Genomic DNA, 19,048 nt, shown 5'->3' with positions numbered 1-19,048 from the left:
GTCTCTCCCTTTTGGTGGACCTGAGTCACTTCCCTTCCCCTCACTCCCACAGTTGCTTCTTTCAGTTTAGCTAGAAAGCCTCTTCACTGTTGCTCTGAATTGACAGGATCCTGAAGAGCAGTTTGGAATGTGGGACTTACCGTGGTGTGTCACAGCTGCCACAGAGATATATTTTATATTTTATTTGGCTTTCCAAGCTGGAAGAAGCCTGTCTTTCAACAATGGAAGTGGAAGTTTCTCCGCTTTTGATAAATGGCCGTTCGTGTTCCACAGTGCTGTGCTGGGTATGTTTGGGAGTAGTCAGGCTTGTTACTTATCTACAGTTGCCAGACCGTGAGAAGTCGCATCTGTACCCAATGTTATGGCATATCATTCAGAGATCCTGGACATGGAGGCAGACGTTGGGACTCCAAGATGAAAAAGTAGGTTATATTATTTTAATAAATACTCTTTTTTTCTTCTCACTATCCCCTTTCTCCTTGTGATTATAGTACCCCGTCTTTTTATTCCGGGTCTCCTCAACCCATGTAGTTTCTGCAAAGCTAACTTCACTGCTGGATTTCTGAATAAAACACATTCTCCAGACTAACCTCTTCAACATGTTCCATCCTCTTGGTCATGCTGATTGGTTCAAGGATGGACTCTAGGACCAAGCCGGATTCAGTAGGAGTAAGATACCTCAATTACAGGGACCTTATGTTCAACCTTGTATCTCCAGAAGCCACAACATGGACCTTAAAAACGAAGCCAGCACAGTGCTGAGGGAATTAGAGAGACTGAGTTAAATATAAATACACACAAAGCCAGCTCGGCTCCGTTCCTGGACGTTTTGGTAATAGAACACAAAATAATCATTTTTCTTTTCTGAAATTAGTTTTAAGCAACTTTTCTGTTATTTGCCAATAAATAGACCTACTTTACAGAGATTGTCTGTATTTGTAGAGGGGAGAGGGCAGCTTATGTAAACCTGTGTCTTTCGAAGGGGTTTAGATGACAAGGAGGATACATGGATGCTTGCCATTCATTGAGAGCTCTGCATCCATTCCCCCAATGCTGGTGATGGCCTCAGATTTTCACATGCAGGTCAACCACTCTTGCATTCAGCACACTCAGCCAGGGTGTGGATCAATCTCAGCTCCGGGTGTGGATCACATGAAGCAGCCTAAGCCACAGTGATTGGTTCAAGAGTAAGCACTTGGCTTAAGCCTTCCAACCACAGTGAAACTCGGGACTTTTGTGGGAGCTCCTGGAAGAGAATCTGTCATTTCTAATGGTCTTAAATTTTGAAGCATGTGGGATGGTGGCGGCTGACACAACCCTGCCATGTGAATGAAGCACCCACATGTAAGCAGAGCCAACACATCAGGAGACAGAACAGAGAGTTGGAAAATAACACTGGCAAAAAAAAAAAAAAAAAGACATTGTTTAATCCTGCATATCCAGCTATGTCTGAAAGAAAGCTTACCATGGGACTCTTCAGTTACATGAGTCAATACATTGATCTTTACTTAAGTCTATTTAGGACTTTTTTTCTATTGCTTTCAACAGAAGAATCCTAACTGATGCTCTACGTGGTTAGTTGTTCCTAGGGGAGATTGAATTATGTAGGCATAAGCAACTTTCATGCAGCAGGTTTTAGAATAAAAGCCATGTGAGATCCTATTGAATTCTGTCTTTACACATATCCACTTTCATTCAATAAATATTGATATGTGCTGTCACTCTGTTAGCCACTGTAAATACAAAAAGGCCCACTGCCCAAGAGGAGCCTACAAGAAGATAAAAAAGAACAAAAAGGGAAGATGTATGAACAAATGCAGGCAATAATTATGGGTACCTGCCAAGATGGAAGGTTCCATTGCATGTATGGTTGACCTGATGTAGATGATCCATGATGGAATTTCAGGAAGTCCATGAACCCTGTAAAATTTTGTGCAAAATACTGAGTGTATGAGCCTGTAAACCGATTTCAGAGAGAGTGTGCAGAGCTGTCATCAGAAAAGCAAAGAGATACTTTAAGAAATGGTTAAGAATTACTGAATATATTATTGTAGAAACACCAAATTTTAAAAAGTCAATAGTAAAATTGTAACTACATTGAGAACATGTTAAGGAAATGGTCATATTTCTGTTCCTAGAAAGATACATAGTTGCTATTCAATATCTATTGGTGAAATGAATTAATGAAAGACTAACTAGCTGGATCTGGAATACTCAAGGAAGACATCAGGGAAAAATCAATGTGTAAGTTGAAATTCAATGAATGAATCAGAATTTACAAGGCAAACTGGATTGGGAACGTATTTGTTCTTTCGTGATGATAAGTTTACATAATCTAAAATTTAATTTTTAAGCCCTTGAAAGTAAACTATAAAAATATCCGCCCATATTTCTGGACTGTCAGTACCATGTGGTTAAAGTACATATTTACATTGTTCACCCTTGAGTCAAGGAGAACAAGACATCTATTTCATACTTAGTGGTTGTAGAATAAGTAATGTTTCATAATGAACTGATGAATGAATACACATTACACAATATTTTGGAATTCTAATCCTTTATGTTTGTAAGTTTGGGGAGGATATGTGTATCAGTATCAGGAAATTAATCTGCCATACTTATAAAATACTTGAACAGGTAAGAGTTTATTTTCCTTTCAGTTTAGCTATATATTTTTTTCTTTTTCAACTTTTATTTTAGGTTCATGGGGTACATGTGCAAAGTTGTTATATGGGTAAATTGTGTGTCACTGGAGTTTGATGCACGAATGATTTCATCACCCAGGTAGTGAGCATAGTACCTGATAGGTAGTTTTTTTAATCTTTCCTGTCCCCCTACTCTACCCTCATGTAGGCTCTGGTGTCTATTTTTCCTCTCTTTGTGTCCACATGTACTGAATGTTTAGCTCCAACTTGTAAGTGAAAACATGCACGTTTTGGGTTTCTGATCCTGTGTTGATTTGCTTAGGATAATGGCCTCCAGCTGCATCCATGTTGTTGCAAAGGACATGATTTTGTTCTTTTTAAATGGCTATGTAGTATTCCATGGTATATATGTACCACATTGTCTTTATCTGGTCCACTATTAATGAGCATCTAGGTTAATTCCGTGTCTTTGCTATTGTGAACAGTGCTGTGATGTGCATACGAGTGCATATGTCTTTTTGGTAAAATGGTTTATATTCTTTTGGGTATATACTCAGTAATGAGATTACTGTGTGGAATGGTGGTTCTAAGTTCTTTTGGAAATCTCCAAACTTCACTCTTCAGTAGCTGAACTAATTTACATCCCCACCAGAAGTGTATAAGCATTCCTTTTTCTCCACGACCTCATCAACCTGTTACTTTCTGACTTTTTAATAACAGTCACTCTGACTGGTGTGAGATGGTATCTCATTGTAGTTTTGAATTGCATTTCTCTAATGATTCGTGATGTTGAGCATTTTGTATATGCTTGTTGGCTGCATGCATGTATTCTTTTCAGAAGTGTTTGTTCATGTCCTTTGCCCATTTTTAATGTTGTCTGCTTTTTGATTGTTGATTTAAGTTTTTTTATAGATTATTTGTCAGATGCGTAGCTGTCTGCTTTCTCTGTTGATAGTTTCTTTGCTGTGCAGAAGCTCTTTGGTTTAATTAGACTCACTTGTCTATTTTTGCAATTGCTTTTGGAGACTTTATCATGAAACCTTTGCCAGGGCCTATGTCCAGAATGGTATGTACTCGGTTTTCTTCTAAGGTTTTTTTTTTTTCAGTTTTAGGTCTTACATTTAAGTCTTTAATCCATCCTGAGTTGATTTTCATATATGGTAAAAGGAAGGGGTCCAGTTTCAATCTTCTGCATATGACTAGCCAGTTATCCATGTACCATTTATTGAATAGGGAACCCTTTTCTTATTGTTTGTTATTGTCAGCTTTGTTGAAGATCAGATGGCTGTAGGTGTGAGGCTTTATTCCTGGGTTCTCTAATCAGTTCCTTTCATCTAGGTGTCTATTTTTGTACCAGTACCATGCTGTTTTGGTTACTGTAGCCTTGTATATGGTTTGAAGTTGAGTAGTGTGATGCCTCAGGTGGTATTCTTTTTGTTTAGGATTGCTTTGGCTATTTGGGCTTTTTTGGTTCCACATAAATTTTACAATAGTTTTCTCTAATTCTGTGAAAAAAATGACATTGGTAATTGGATAGGAATAACACTGAATCTATACATTGCTAATTGCCATTGTAAATAAGCAGTATGACCATTTTAACAACATTGATTCTTCCTCTCTCTGAGTATGGAATGATTTTTCTTTTGTTTCGCCTCTGATTTCTTTCAGCAGTGTTTTGTAACTCTTGCTGTACAGATCTTTTACTTCCCTGGTTAGTTGTATTCCTAGGAATTTTATTATTTTGTGGCTATTGTGAATGAGATTGTGTTCTTGATTTGGCTGTCAGCTTGGATGTTTTTTGGTGTATGGAAATGCTACTTATTTTTGTACATTGATTTTGTATCCTGAAACTTTACCGAAGTTGATTATCAGTTCTAGGAGCCCTTGGGCAGAAATTATGGAGTTTTCTAAGTCTAGAATCATATTGCCTGCAAACAGAGATAGTTTGACTTTCTCTCTTCCTATTTGGAAGCCATTTTTTTTTTCTTTCTCTTGCCTGATTGCTCTAGCTAGGACTTTTAGTACTATGTTAAATACATGTGGTGAGAGTGGGAATCCTTGTCTTGTTCTGGTTCTCAGGAGGAGTGCTTCCAACTTTTGTCCATTCAGTATGATGTTGACTATGCGTTTGTCATAGACTGCTTTTCTTATTTTGAGGTATGTTCCTTCAACACCTAGTTTGTTGAGGGTTTTTAACATGAAGAGATGAAGAATTTTATTGAAAGCATTGTCTATGTCTGTTGAGATGAGCATGTGGTTTTAGTTTTTAGTCTTGTTAATGTGATGAATCATATTTACTGATTTGCATATATTGAACCAACCTTGCGTCCCAGGAATAAAGCTTACTTGATTGTGGTTAATGAGCTTCATGATGTGCTGCTGGATTTCATTTGCTAGTATTTTGTTAAGTACTGTTGCATCTATGTTCACCAGGGATGTTAGCCTGAAGCTTGCTTTTTTGTTGTCTCTTTATCAGCTTTTGGCATCTGAATGATGGTAGCCTCATAGAATGAGTTGGGGAGGAGTCCCCCCTCCTTCAGTTTTAGGAATATTTTCAGTAGGGCTGGTACTAGCTCTTCTTTACACATCTGGTAGAATTTAACTGTAAATTTATCTGGTCCAGGGCCTTTTCTGGTTGGTAGTTTCTTTCTTTTCTTTTCTTTTTTTTTTCATAACTGATTCAATTTTGGAACTGTTATTGATCTGTTCACGATTTCACTTTTTTCGTGGTTCAATCTTAGGTTGTATGTTTATAGGAATTTATCCATCTCTTGTAGGTGTTCTAGTTTGTGTGCAGAGGTGTTTGAATGGTCTCTGACTATTTTTGCTTTTCTGTGGGGTCAGTGGTAATGTCACCTTTGCATTTCTGATTGTGTTTATTTGGATCTCTCTCTTTTTAAAAATCTATCTAGCTAGCTATCAAATCTGATTTATTCTTTCAAATAACAAACTTTTGGTTTTGTATTCTTTGATAGGCATGCTCACATCTCAATTTCCTTCAGTTCAGCTCTGCTTTTGCTTAACTTATTTTCTGCTAGCTTTAGAGTTGGTTTGCTCTTATTTTTCTAGTTCCTCTAGGTGTGATGTTAGGTTGTTAATTTGAGATCATTCTAACTTCTTGATTTAGGCATTTAGTGCTATAAACTTTCTTCTTAATGCTGTATTATCTAGTATGTTGTATCTTTATTTTCATTAGTTTCAAGTAAGTTTTTGATTTCTGCCCCAATTTTATTCTTTACCCAAAGTCACTCAGGAGCATGTTGTTTAATTTTCATGTAATTGTATGGTTTTGAGAGATCTTCTTGGTATTGATTTCAATTTTTATAGTGTTGTGGTCTGAGAGTGGGGTTGATATGATTTTGAGGTTTTTAAATTTGTTGAGAATTGCTTTATGGCCAAGCATGTGGTCGTTCTTAGAGTATGTGCCATGTGCAGATGAGAAGAATGTATATTCTGTTGTTGTTGAGTGGAATATTCTGTAGATGTCTGGTAGGCCCATTTGTTCAAATGTCGAGTTTATGTCCTGAATATCTTTGTTACTTTTCTGCCTCCGTGATCTGTCTGACACTGTCCGTGGAGTGTTGAAGTCTCCCACTATTATTCTGTGGTTATCCAAGATTCTTCATATGTTTCTAAGAGCTTGTTTTATGACTCTGGGTGCTCCAGTGTCGGCTGCATGTATATTTAGAAGAGTTAAGTCTTTTGGTTAAATTGAACATTTTATCACTATGTAATGCCTTTGTCTTTTTTTTTTTTTTTAAATCATGGTTAGTTTAAAGCCTGTTTTGTCTGAAATGAGAATAGCAACTCCTGCTCTTTTTTGTTTTACATTTGCTTGATATATCTTTCTCCCTCCCTTTGCTTTGAGCCTATGGCTGTCATTGCAAGTGAGATGATTCTCTTGATGGCAACATATTGTTCAGTCTTGCTTCTTTGTCCAACTTGCCACTCTGTGTCTTTTTTTTTTTCTTTTGAGATGAGGTCTCTGCCATCCAGGCAGGAGTGCAGTGGCACAATCTTGGCTCACTGCAGCCTTGACCTCCCAAGCTCAAATGATCCTCCCACCTCAGCCTCCCAAGTAGCTGGGACTACAAGCATGTGCCACCATGCCCAGCTAATTTTAATTTTTTTTTTTGGTAGAGATGGGGTATTGCTATGTTGCCTAGGCTGGGCTCAGCAATCTTCCTGCCTTGCCCTCCCAAATTGCTGAGATTACAGGTGTAAACCACCATGCCCAGCCACCATCTGTGTCTTTTAAATGAGGCATTTCGCCCATTTACATTCAAGGTTAATATAGATATGTGAGGATTTGATCCTGTCATCGTATTGTCAGCTAGTTGTTATGTAGTCTTGATTGTACAGTTGCTTGATAGTATCAGTAGGCTATGTACTTAAATGTGTTTTTGTGGTGGAAGGTACTGATATTTCCCTTCCATGTTTAGCACTCCCTTGAGGACCTCTTGTAAGGCAGATATGTTGGTTATGAATTCCCTTAGCGTTTGCTTGTCTGAAGAGGATTTTATTTTTCCTTTGCTTATGAGGCTTAATTTGACTGGATATAAAATTCTTGGATGGAATTTCTTTTATTTAAGGATGCTGAATATAGGGCTCTGATCTCTTCTGGCTTGTGAAGTTTCCGCTGAAAGGTGTGCTGTTAGCCTAGTGGAGTTCCCTTTGTATCTGACCAGCACCTTCTCTCTAGCTGCCTTTAATATCTTACAGGGGTTCTGTGAATTTCCTGAATTTTCATGTCAACCTCTCTAGCAAGGTTGGGGAAATTTTTGTGGACAATATCCTCAAATATGTTTTCCAAGTTGCTTGCTCTCTCTCCATCTCTTTCAGGAATGCCAATGAATGGTAGGTTTGGTCTCTTTACATAATCTCATATTTCTTGGAGGTTTCATTCATTTAAAACATTATTTCATCTTTATTTTTATCTGCCTCTATTGATTGAAAGGAGTGGTTTTAGGCTCTGAGATTCTTTCCTCAGCTTGGCCTTTTCTGTTATTAATGATTCCAATTGTATTCTGAAATTCCTGTAGTGAATTTTTTATTTCCAGAAGTTCAGTTTGGGTCTTTCTTAAAATGTCTATGACATCTTTCAATTTTTGGATCATTTTATTCTATTCCTTGGATTGGGTTTCAACCTTCTGTATGTAGATGAGCTTCCTTGTCATCCAGATTCTGAATTAGCTGTCATTTCAGCCATTTCTGTTTGTTTAAAAACCACTGCTGGTAGCTAGTGCGGTCATTTGGAGGTAAGAAGACACTCTGACCTTTAGAGCTGCCAGAATTCTTGCACGTGTTCTTTCTCATCTATGTGGGCTGATGTTCCTTTAGTCTTTGCAGTTGTTATCTTTTGGGTGAGGCTTTTTGCATTCACACTATTTGATGCCCTCCAGGATATGACCATCGTATAAGTTGGATTTAGTGGATTGGCTTCATTTCTGGATGATTTCAGAGGGTCAAGCCTCAGCTCAGCACTCGTAGGCTACATGTTCTAACTCTGGGGGGCTGGGACTAGGCCTGTGGCTTTGTTCTCTGGCCCCTCAAGGTTAAGCACTTGCTGTGCTAGACTGGCTGAGGTGTGCCCTGTCTGCTGGCAACAACACTGTGACAGGGGCTGCTGGCAAAAGCACTCCAGTAAGGTGGCTGTGGGTACCCACACACATGCATACTAGTAGGACAGTGGGGGTCCTTGCACATGTGTGTGCTGGCCAGGGGTCCGCACACACATGTGTGCCGGTGGGGCAGCAGGGGGAGGCCATGGGTGTGTGCATGTCCCCTGAGGGGAACGCTGTGGGTGGATGCACACTGTTGGCAGTCTGTCTGCAAAAGTGCGCTGACAGTTAGGTGGGGTCTGCCTGCAAAAGATCTATGGCAGTGGCTACTGGCAAGCTGAGGCTGTGCTGCAAGCAGGTGTGGTGGCCAGGCAGGGACCCTGGGAGAGGCCAGCAGAGAGGGGGTCACTCAGATCAGACTGGCCCTGTCCCATGGGCAAGAAAGTTCTACTCTGTCCAAGTCTGGCAGCCAACAATGGGTAGAAACACCTACAGAACTATGGCGAGCCTTGGGGGATGGGCGCCTATGGCCTTGCTCCACTGCAGCCATTCCCATGCGACTCTGGGCTCCACACAGGCTGGAGTTCTGTCTCTATCAACTCTCTGGACAGTTCTCCCTGCCAGCTCAGATGTCGCTGGGGATTGTGGGGTCTCCCACAGCTGGGATCCTGGAGGTCCACAGCAAGAGTAGGCCACTCCATGCCTAGGTCACTCACCCACCCCTAGGAGCTGCTCAAGGCCAGGAACGAGACCAGCTACTTGGCAACCCTGTGAAGAGTTCCCAGTTTCCTTCTGTTTCAGCCCAGGGTCTGCATCCTCCCTCTGTCCACTCCCAATGCTTTATTTCCAAAGATCCGTTTGGAGTGTGCCAGTCTACTTGGTCTGGTCTCTCTCTATGGGAGAAGCTCTTCCTGGCTGCATCTAGTCAGCCATATTGGCTGTCCCCCAGAGTATAAATTTTTAACAAACAAAAGTTGTATGGATTTATAAATTTTAATTTTATAAATTTATTATGTGCTTTTTCCATTTAAAAAAGTCTTATCTATTTTTCCAGTTGATTATTTTAATATTTAATTATTTAACATGTCTAGAAACTATTCAGAAAGTAAATATCTAAGTGAACGTATATCGCACTGTGTAAACTATTGTCCCAGAAACATATATTACGTAATACTTTTGTTTATCCTTTATCATATACTAAATTCTTACATGTACTAGGCCTTTTTTCTGTCATTTCTAGTTTTTACTGCTATTTACCTACTTAAACATTTATTTAATTATTATATCATTAACATATGTTTTAGCACCTGGTAGGGTTATCACCTCATTACTTTTATTTATTCACTTTAAAATCTACCTGCATTGAAATGCTCCCCAAATGGGTGGCCTGTCCTCTTGGATGTAGATATCTTAGGTGTGTTTTCCCTCCTCTCTGTTGGCAATTAATTTTCTTCTGACCTCTGCTGTTACCATCCCTGTGGGTTTTGAAGTCTGAGAAGTAGGGAGAGAAATATATCAGAGTCCACTCTTTTATGGATGCATCTGATCTCAAATTATGATCAAATTCGTAGCTAGTGTCACAAAGCTATTCTCTGTGCTGTATTGTGGGAACCAGTGCCAACTATATAGTAACGTCCAGGAAATGTCTCTGAGATCTGCCTGCTGGCCTCATCCATGCTCTGGCTGGAGATTCTCTTAGAGCTGGAGGGCAGAGGCTGGATCCTGCATCAAATATTAATGGAATGAGGGAGTCACCATTTATCTACCCTGTCCACTCTGCTTTCCCTGTGAGCATACTGAAATTAGTGCCAGAGCACCAGGAAGGCTGTCTGAAGAGGGAGCCTGATGTTTCCCACGACAGCTGCAAGCTGCTGTAGGACCGTGGTTACGGAGGCTCCATTCTAGTTTCCATTTATAATTTCAGATAAACTTTATAATTTGTCAGGTTCTATAAAAAATCTTTTAATTGAAGTTGTACTGAACAAATCATATTTATGCACACATATAAGGCAAGCCCAAATATAATAGGTCTAAAGCCCATCATACTTTTTGATGCATCAGAAGCTAACTCCGAAAAGGTCTCTATCAGTTTTTTTTTTTTTTTTCTTTCAGAAAGGGTCTCACTCTGTCACCCAGGCTGGAGTGCAGTGATGCCATCTCTGCTCACTTCAACCTCTGCCTCCCAGGTTCAAGTGATTTCCCTGCTTCAGCCTCCCAAGTAGCTGGGATTACAGGTGCGCCCCACCATACCCGGCTAATTTTTGTATTTTTAATAGAGACAGGGTTTCACTATGTTGGCGAGGCTAGTCTTGAACTCCTTGCCTCATGTGATCCACCCACCCGCCTTGGCTTCCCAAAGTGCTGGGATGACAGGCTTGAGCCACCACGCCCTGTTGGTTTGTACTTCCCAAATTTAAGGATGAAATGAAATTAAATAGCCTAATGTTTACTCATAACATTTTATGTGTTTATTTAGATACACACTTATTTAAAATAGTACAGAAAGTAATGCATTAATTTAAAAATGCATTTTTTACACTCTCAAACATTATGAAACTATATTCAAACTTTTCACTTGTGTGTTTGCCACTGGAACCTTTACTATCACTAGAGTCCCTTGTGAGGCCATCTAACCATCATCATCAACTTCACTCCTATCTCTGCTGACAGGCAACACTTGGATCATTCCACAATGACATCACTGGGAAATTTTGTACCAAATCAGAGAAACTATGCATATAATAATGAGACTGTTCTTTCCCCTTTTTATATTAAAAAACCCTGAAGATGTGTATTCTTAACAACTGCCACATGAACACTTTTTATATTGTTTTCTACCATGATTTAAAAAAATCCACATTTAAAGTAATGTCTAGTGATAATACTTGCTATTGTAAAATCTTTACCCCAGAAATAGTTACCAAATTTTCCTTTGTTAAAAAATTTATTTTGCTATGTTAACAGCTCCATGAGGTAAGCTTTATAAGCATCTAAAACAAACATTGGTGGCTCTCATTTCAAGAGCCTTTGTGTCTTCCCAAAATGAAGTTTGAAATAAAATAGAGAGAGGCCCCCACGTTATGAGAGATTTTGTAAGAAGTCAAATATAAAATGGCTCCCTCTGTTTTGGAGGATAGTTTCTTTCAGGAAAAATAATCACGTTTTGTTTTCAGGAATATGTAACTTGATTTAGGGAGAATTTTCATCTTTATAATAGCCAACTTTCTGTGTAGACACAGGCAGATTTTTCTTACTGTTCAAATCTTTTATTTTATTTGTCAGTAACTTCTGTCCATTTCTCCATATGGGCCTCGTTCTGTGTATCTTGAGTGAAGCGTTTTCCCTCTGTCACTTTTGTTGCTTGCAAATGGTGTGTATGTACACACGTTCTTAAAAGAGTTTGTCAAATAGTAATTTTGATGATGACAATGATGACATAGATTTTTAATGTCATGTGGGGTATACATTGTTTGCATTCTATGAAAAGTGTTCATGACTTAATTCTATACACGCTAATGCTTAATCACAAATAACATTATTTAACACTATATTCTCCACAGATGAATCTTGATACTGGTTTAGAATTTAGAGCATGCACCCTCATTTGACTCACACCGGCCACTCTATCCAGCAGTGCCAATACTGTAGGTAGAAGCGTTCTTAGGTTAGAAAAAGTTACTAAGGGGTTCTTGTTAAAAATAGTTTCCTTGGACCCCAGCCTAGTTCTACTGAGGCAGGTCTCTGGAGAGGGGCCCAAGTTGACTAAGTCTCTACTTGATTCTCTGCCCACCAACATTAGAAAATCACTGAGCTGGAGCATGGTGGAAGTACACAGATAGAGAGAAAATGCTAGTTTGCCAAATCAACCCTATCAAATCAAGGTGGAAATGCAATTACAGAAAGCCCCAGGCACATTTCCCATCTTGGTAACTAACTAGAGCCCTCAGGTACCTCATGATGCTAGAATCTGCTTTTATCTTAAAGAGAGGTTTACATTCACAAATTATAGTGGAATTAAAAGCTTATAGATCAGTCTTATATTTTTCCACAAATAAACTTTGACTATTCTTTATGAGCTCTTTATGTTTAATTTGTTTTAAAAAATGTAGACATTTGCCAGTGTGGTGGCTCATGCCTGTAATCCCAGCACTTTGAGAGACTGAGTCAGGAGGATCAGTTGAGGCCAGGAGTTCTAGGCCAGACTGGGCAATACAGGGAGACCACATCTCTACAAAAAATAAAAGTAAAAATAAAAATTAGCTGGACATGGTGACATGCACCTGCGGTTCTAGCTGCTCGGTAGGCTGAGGTGGGACAATCTCTTGAGCCCAGGATTTTGAGACTGAAGTGAGCTATGATCGCACCATTGCACTCCAGCCCAGGGGACAGAGCTAGACTCCATCTCAAAACTACAACCACAAAAATAAGTAGAAAATGTAGACATGCTCATCAAGAATTTGCACATTGCCTGTGAATTCTAAAAGCACAAAAGTCTTTTTTGAGATTAATGTGTATATAAGAGCATAATCCATTTTCACTTATATGTGTCACATAAACAGTATATGAGAACAACAAAGGGTGTACCTAATTTCGTGTTTTCAGGATGCATTCAGTGTGAAAAAAGAAAATATCTTGGGGTTGTTATTTACTTGATTTATGGAGTGGACATATTTAAGCAATGGCCTTCACTAGATAAGAAGATATTCTGGATTTGCCTGTTTTTCTTTGGTAAAATTATTTGGCAGATGTTAATTTTAAGGGATAAGGATAAATACTTGAGAAGACAACAAATATATCATTTTGTTGTTTTTATAACGTAAAGGCAGAATAAGAAACCCATCTCCCAATGCATAACAACTTTAGCCATTTAAATAGGAATAAAAGCACTGATTCCCATGAAAATAAGCATGATCAAATAACGTAAGAGCTTTGAATTTTTGAAGGTTATAAACATAAATGACCCCCTGAACAGTAATCCTGGAGCTATGATATACATGTAGATTGTTTCTGCAATGTTTTCTTGTTCAGAGTACATCCTGTTAGCAGATCCCTCAATATAATGTATTTGCAACTGTCTACTATTCAGCAGCCTTCTGAAATGTGCTGGTGCTATTAAACTTCTCTATTCCATTAGTCACACTCCTAGGTAAAACCTACGTAGGAGTTTCTAGACTCCACAGCCTGATTTTCCTGATATAAATGAAACCTACATTCCAGCCAAGCTATTTGCTCTTCCTTGCCACTATGCAATATTTTAGCTGATAAGCTAATAAGAATCAACATTTACTAATCTAGTTAACGCCTTCTCCAAACATATTTCTCGTTTTGATTTTAGTGAACAGTGATGTTCATGAAAACGAACATTGAAGTCACAATCTAAATTTCCTTAATGAATCCATCTCTTTCAGGAGAAAAGCCAATTTCCTTTGAGTATTATACAGTATCATTCATAACAGAGCCCCAGCCTTTCTCTCCAGCCTCTTCCCTTACCCCCTCCCAATATACAGGTCACACACAACACAGCCCACTTATCTGTCAGTAGTCCTACCAGTGCCCTGGGCTCCTTCAAGGTCCCAAGTCCTTGAAATTTGCTGTCCTTCTGAATTGTCCTTTTCTCCTCCCTAGAAGACTTCTTTCTGCTCCCGTTAAATGTCCCCAATTCCTATCTATCCCTAGTCCCTCTTAAAATCCAACTGGAGTTTACTGCTCTACTCTGAAGTCTCAAAACATGCTAATCTTCACAGATTACCTTGTATTGTAATTGTTGGCCTAGTTAGTATTATCTGCCCCTTGACTAAGCTTCAAGAGGCCAGACTTGGTCTTTTATCTGTCTTCCAACAGTTCATTCTAGAACCAACACACAACAAACAAAAGTCAAATTGGTTCTCAACAGTTTACTTTCAGTGGGCTTGCGTCCTTAAAATTGTCTTTTATAAAAATATCCTAATTCATGAGAAACATTAGAGGAAGGCAAGGCCCAGCTTACTTAAAAATAATTAACTATAGTCTGTTACATAAAGTAAAAATAGATTAAACACTATTATTTTAATGCAGTATATAAGACTTTTACTAAGTATCACTGAACTACCTTCTGAGACATGATTTTTACTAGATCTGAATAGTAATAAGATAAGTCACAGAGTCTTCTTTTGCTTCGGTTCCTTGTTTGATAATTATGAACCTTTAAATTTATATTGTTTATTTTATTTCCCCTAGTTTTCGTTCTCTTTCTGATTTAATCACACATGCAGAGTAAGACATTGGATGCTAATAATCTCAGCCACCATTAAAATGTTTGTGTCTGATTAAAATTAATGCATTATTGAAGGGAAATATATTATTATCTAATAAGTGTGGATGTGTATTCTATCATACTTCAATCCTTCGAAAATGCTGGACTAGTGAATATCACAAAACAGGAAATTAGTAATACAAAATAAAAATGTTAGGAAGATGCTGTAAAATGAAAATACTGATTATATCTGGGTGTTGATATCACCATGACTTTTTAAATTGCTCTTCTGATTTTTACACCTTTTTTACAATGCACAAACTGTACTTGTATAATAATAGTTATGTCAGCGAGAATGTATGCACTCGTATTTAGTTAAGAAATATTGTGGCATGTACAGTACAGTCCTGATTAATAAACAATCTGGTTAATAAATAATAATTTTGTCTGTATTATGAGGAAAAACTGACATTACTCAGAAATTCAACACACTGAAATCGAAAGTACTAGAATGATCTACTTACACAAATCGTCTTTTAAAACACTACATGACACTTGAGTAAACCAGCCATCAAACAGGACGCGGCTTTTGGATGATCATTACCTATAGTTGGTAAGAACTGAAAATTTTTAGGGGTAAAATTTAGTGTATACAGTACCTTATTATGCAGCAGAAGAGGCTAGTAGGTCGAATCCTGCCCAAGAGGTTTTGCAATTTTCTCTTTAAAAAACACCTACTTCTCCCGCATCCCCAACACCCACAGCGCTCCTTAAAGGAAAATGGATACGGATGCCCCATCCCTTTGGTTTCTCAATGCATTTTACTTAGAAAGAGGTCACCTAGTAAGACCCATGTGGTGAATGTGCACCCGGGCGGGGCATGAGGGTCCTTGGAAAGCACCGCAGAGAGGGCGACACCGCAAACCGCTGTCCCACGCGACCCCCGGGGCGAGCCGGGGCAGCGCTGCACTCGGTGCGCACCGGCAGCGTCTGGCACCCACGCCACCTGCTGCTCCCGCGGGTCTGGCAGGGGCAAGGGGCGGAGTGGGCAGGATCTTCAGATCAAAGGAGACCGATGCTTGCCCACGGCATCCAGCGTAGGAGCCGGAATCGAGGTGACCCCAGATTTTCCCAGAGTGTCTGTCTCCTTTCCCTTCTCAGAACTCCGAGAGCCAACGCTAAGGGGCACCAGAGGCTCAGACTGCGGCGGCGACTCGCAGGCACCCAGCTCGCCCGCGGCTGCGGAGGTCCTCGGAGGAGCCCACCCGGGAGGGGGTCTGGACGCAGGCAGCGGGGGCAGAGGGAGGGTCGAAGCCGCTCCAGAGGGTCCAGGTCCGAGGAGGAGCCCTCGGAGACGCGGACGGTGCGCGCGGAGGGCAGGGCTAGGCAGTGACCCCGGGTGGCACAGGGCTTACTGTTTCTTCCTAAGACTCTATGAGGCCACTTCTAATCGTTTACTTTAGAATAGGAAAGAAAACATAGACAAATGGGTGGCTGTCACCCAGGCAGCTACACGGTCGATGCAGGTGCACAGGCGTGCGCGCCATTCTCCCGTGTCACACAGCAGGACGGAATAACTGCACGCACTGGGAGCGATGGATCTCGCGGTCCGGGATCCGAGACGCATTCAGAGACCAAATGTCACCTCATCCCTCCTCTAGCCAATTCGAGCTTCCTCCGCGGACCCCCACCTTCCATCCGAAGTGGCTCGGTCCTTAGTTGAGAGGACTCTGCCCAGACCCTCGCACCAGTAGAGACCTCTGCCCGGGCGCCTGCAACTCGGACGCTTCCCGGAGCCAGAGCGTGCGGGCGGCGCGGCCGCGAGGAGCCTCACCGGCCATGCCGTCCGCAGTCTGACTTTTATTTTTCTCTTCAGTGATTAAAACAAAATATCGTGGACAGGGGGACAGAAAGGAAAGAGCAGGCGCCTGAGCCCGGGGAGCCGGGCGGGGGCCCCCGGGCCCCGCGGCCCCGCCGCCGCCCGCCCCCGCGCGCCTTCTCCCTCCTCCCGGGCCGAGCCGGCGCCACTGCGCCAGGATGGAGCGAGCTCGGCGCGGGAGGAGATGACGCAAAAGCCAGCGCTCCCCCCAAAAAAGTGTTTCTCCAGGACGAAGATGGCGGCAACTTAGCCCGCGGACTGAAGATGACTGTGGCTCTCGGGAGGCCCAGCCCAGGCGATTCGGCCCGGAGCTCCGCGGGAGGCGGCGTCAGCAGTCGGAGCCCCGGCGGCGGCGCCCGCGGGCGGCCCTGCGGCAGCGGCGGCGGCGGCGGCGGCGGCGGCAGCACTTAGAGCGCGGGGTGGGGGGTGGGGGGGAGGGAGCGCCCCGCCGGAGGCAGCCCAGGCTCCGGACTCTGGGAGAGCCAGCGCGGAGCAGGAGCGGGAGGCGGAGGAGAAGAAGAAGGAGAAGGAAAGGAAGGAGGAGGAAGAGGAGGAGAAGAAGAGGAGGAGGAGGAGGAGGAGGGGAGGCGCTCCGGGCGCCGTCAGTGGGCAGCGGAGGCGCGGCATGCCCCTGGCAGGGGAGAGCGGGCTGGGCTCCGCGGGGCCATGGGGACCCGCGCGCTGACAATGCCTGGGTGACCGGAGCCGCGCCAGCCACCCTGTCACCTCCACCATCGCCCCCTGCACCCAGCCTCGCCGCCGGCCACCAGCACCAGCCTCCTCCGTCTCTCTCTCTCTCTCTCTCTCCATTATTGTTTCCCACTCTACAGAGGATGGGGTCGGCTGATGATTAGGAAGCAAGTCAGACCTTCCTTCAAAGCCTGGTAATATTTATGTAGGCAAAAGAGACAGAGAGAGATAAAAGAGAGGGAGAGGGAGAGAGAGAGAGAGGAGAGAGGGAGAGGGGAAGAGAGAGAAAGAGAGAGAGGAGAGAGAAGAAACGGGAGGAGGGGATAAGGAAATTAAACCCTTTAAGTCAATGCATATTGTGGTGACACCGGCACAGGCGCCCTCACGGTGGAGTCGGCCAGGGCTGTGCGTTCCCAAAATATGACCAGGGGTGCTTGGATGTGTCGGCAGTATGACGACGGCTTAAAAATCTGGTTGGCAGCACCCCGAGAGAACGAGAAACCGTTCATCGATTCCGAGAGGGCTCAGAAATGGCGACTGTCTCTGGCATCTCTCTTGTTTTTCACAGTCCTGCTCTCTGATCACTTGTGGTTCTGCGCCGAGGCCAAGCTGACCCGGGCCCGGGACAAGGAGCACCAGCAGCAGCAGCGGCAGCAGCAGCAGCAGCAGCAGCAGCAGAGGCAGCGGCAGCAGCAGCAGCAGCAGCGGCGGCAGCAGGAGCCCTCCTGGCCCGCGCTCCTGGCGAGCATGGGGGAGTCCTCGCCCGCCGCCCAGGCACACAGACTCCTCTCCGCCTCCTCGTCCCCCACCCTGCCCCCCTCCCCGGGAGACGGCGGCGGCGGCGGCGGCAAGGGCAACCGAGGCAAAGACGACCGGGGCAAGGCTCTTTTTCTAGGAAACTCTGCCAAGCCCGTGTGGCGCCTGGAGACTTGTTACCCCCAGGGCGCGTCCTCGGGCCAGTGCTTCACGGTGGAGAATGCGGACGCGGTGTGCGCCAGGAACTGGAGTCGGGGGGCGGCCGGGGGGGACGGGCAGGAGGTGAGGAGCAAGCATCCCACTCCGCTCTGGAACTTGTCGGATTTTTACCTTTCGTTTTGTAATTCCTACACACTTTGGGAGTTGTTCTCGGGGTTGTCCAGTCCCAACACTTTGAACTGCAGTCTGGATGTGGTGCTCAAGGAAGGCGGCGAGATGACCACTTGCAGGCAGTGCGTCGAGGCTTACCAGGACTATGACCACCATGCTCAGGAGAAATACGAAGAGTTTGAAAGCGTGCTCCACAAATATTTACAGTCGGAGGAGTACTCGGTGAAATCCTGTCCTGAAGACTGTAAGGTAGGAACCCTCGGGGGTTTCCCCCTTTCCTGCACTTTCCTATCTCTGCTTGGTTGGGGTGTCTTCTCAAGTTTATTATTATTATTTTTTGGCTATGGTTTTGTTACTTTGTGTTTTCTGCGGTTATTAAGAGCTTGGCTTGCTGTTTGAGATGAGAATACCTGGTGGATTGCTGGTGGACTGACTGATGCCTTCTTCTGGGAGTCCTTGGAAGATCAGGGAAGTCCCCGGTTATCTGAGATAATCAAGCTGGCACTTTAACTGTTTCTTACATTCATGCAGTTGGCTCAAACTCTGTTACATCTTTTAAGAAAAGGAAGTTGAAAAAGTCTTGTCAGGAAAATAGCAATGAGACTGCACACTGATGCTCACAGGTAAAGTCAGAAGAGTTCGAGACAGGCATGTGTGGTTTGCAATATAGATCTGCACACAGGAACGCTCTCATAGTGACATCATTAAGTTGGTTGAGCAAGAGAAAGTGGTTGTAGTTGTTTCGGTAGTTAAAAAGAATTACCTGTTTTTACAGGGGTAGTTCTGGTTGTTCAGAAAGTCTGGGGGCCTACCTGAGGATATTTACTTTTTTTAAGTTTTCTGTTTCCTCTTGGACATTTGTATAATTATTGATCTGGGACTCACTATGAATGAACAGTTGTAATTAGGTGTCTAGTGATTGACTAGCAATAGGCTATTTATCAGACACACTATG

At 42.7% G+C, this 19,048-nt stretch overlaps 2 protein-coding genes across 2 annotated transcripts in view, besides 3 other annotated features; one reads left to right on the top strand and one right to left on the bottom strand.

Annotated features, from left to right (window-relative positions):
* Positions 8,018-8,517: an enhancer, noted in NCBI's record as "H3K4me1 hESC enhancer chr13:108527855-108528354 (GRCh37/hg19 assembly coordinates)". NCBI's record gives its function as "activates a minimal SCP1, AML or CMV promoter by ChIP-STARR-seq in primed H9 embryonic stem cells {active_cell/tissue: H9 hESC(primed)}" and the evidence as "EXISTENCE:reporter gene assay evidence [ECO:0000049][PMID:30033119]".
* Positions 8,518-9,019: an enhancer, noted in NCBI's record as "H3K4me1 hESC enhancer chr13:108527353-108527854 (GRCh37/hg19 assembly coordinates)". NCBI's record gives its function as "activates a minimal SCP1, AML or CMV promoter by ChIP-STARR-seq in primed H9 embryonic stem cells {active_cell/tissue: H9 hESC(primed)}" and the evidence as "EXISTENCE:reporter gene assay evidence [ECO:0000049][PMID:30033119]".
* Positions 10,652-17,351, bottom strand: LOC124903206 (heparan sulfate glucosamine 3-O-sulfotransferase 4-like). The gene has a single exon (XM_047430833.1). It carries the CDS (start codon positions 17,125-17,127, stop codon positions 16,564-16,566), a length of 564 nt encoding a protein of 187 aa, XP_047286789.1. The 5' UTR covers positions 17,128-17,351; the 3' UTR covers positions 10,652-16,563.
* Positions 15,492-16,060: an enhancer, noted in NCBI's record as "H3K4me1 hESC enhancer chr13:108520312-108520880 (GRCh37/hg19 assembly coordinates)". NCBI's record gives its function as "activates a minimal SCP1, AML or CMV promoter by ChIP-STARR-seq in naive H9 embryonic stem cells {active_cell/tissue: H9 hESC(naive)}" and the evidence as "EXISTENCE:reporter gene assay evidence [ECO:0000049][PMID:30033119]".
* The window catches only part of NALF1 (NALCN channel auxiliary factor 1), a 703,987-nt gene continuing 701,466 nt past the window's right edge, over positions 16,528-19,048 (top strand). The window contains exon 1 of the mRNA NM_001080396.3: positions 16,528-18,342. Coding sequence (NP_001073865.1) covers positions 17,428-18,342 — 915 coding nt within the window. The 5' untranslated portion in view covers positions 16,528-17,427. The remainder of the gene's footprint in view (positions 18,343-19,048) is intronic.

The sequence above is a fragment of the Homo sapiens genome, chromosome 13, assembly GCF_000001405.40.
Source record: "Homo sapiens chromosome 13, GRCh38.p14 Primary Assembly".
Taxonomy (NCBI): Eukaryota; Metazoa; Chordata; class Mammalia; order Primates; family Hominidae; genus Homo; species Homo sapiens.
This window is presented reverse-complemented; position numbering and strand designations above follow the sequence as displayed.

What these genes read in the sequence shown, in the direction of transcription:
- LOC124903206 (XM_047430833.1), bottom strand. Translation starts at nt 17,127, where the DNA reads ATGGAGAGAGAGAGAGAGAGAGAGACGGAGGAGGCTGGTGCTGGTGGC.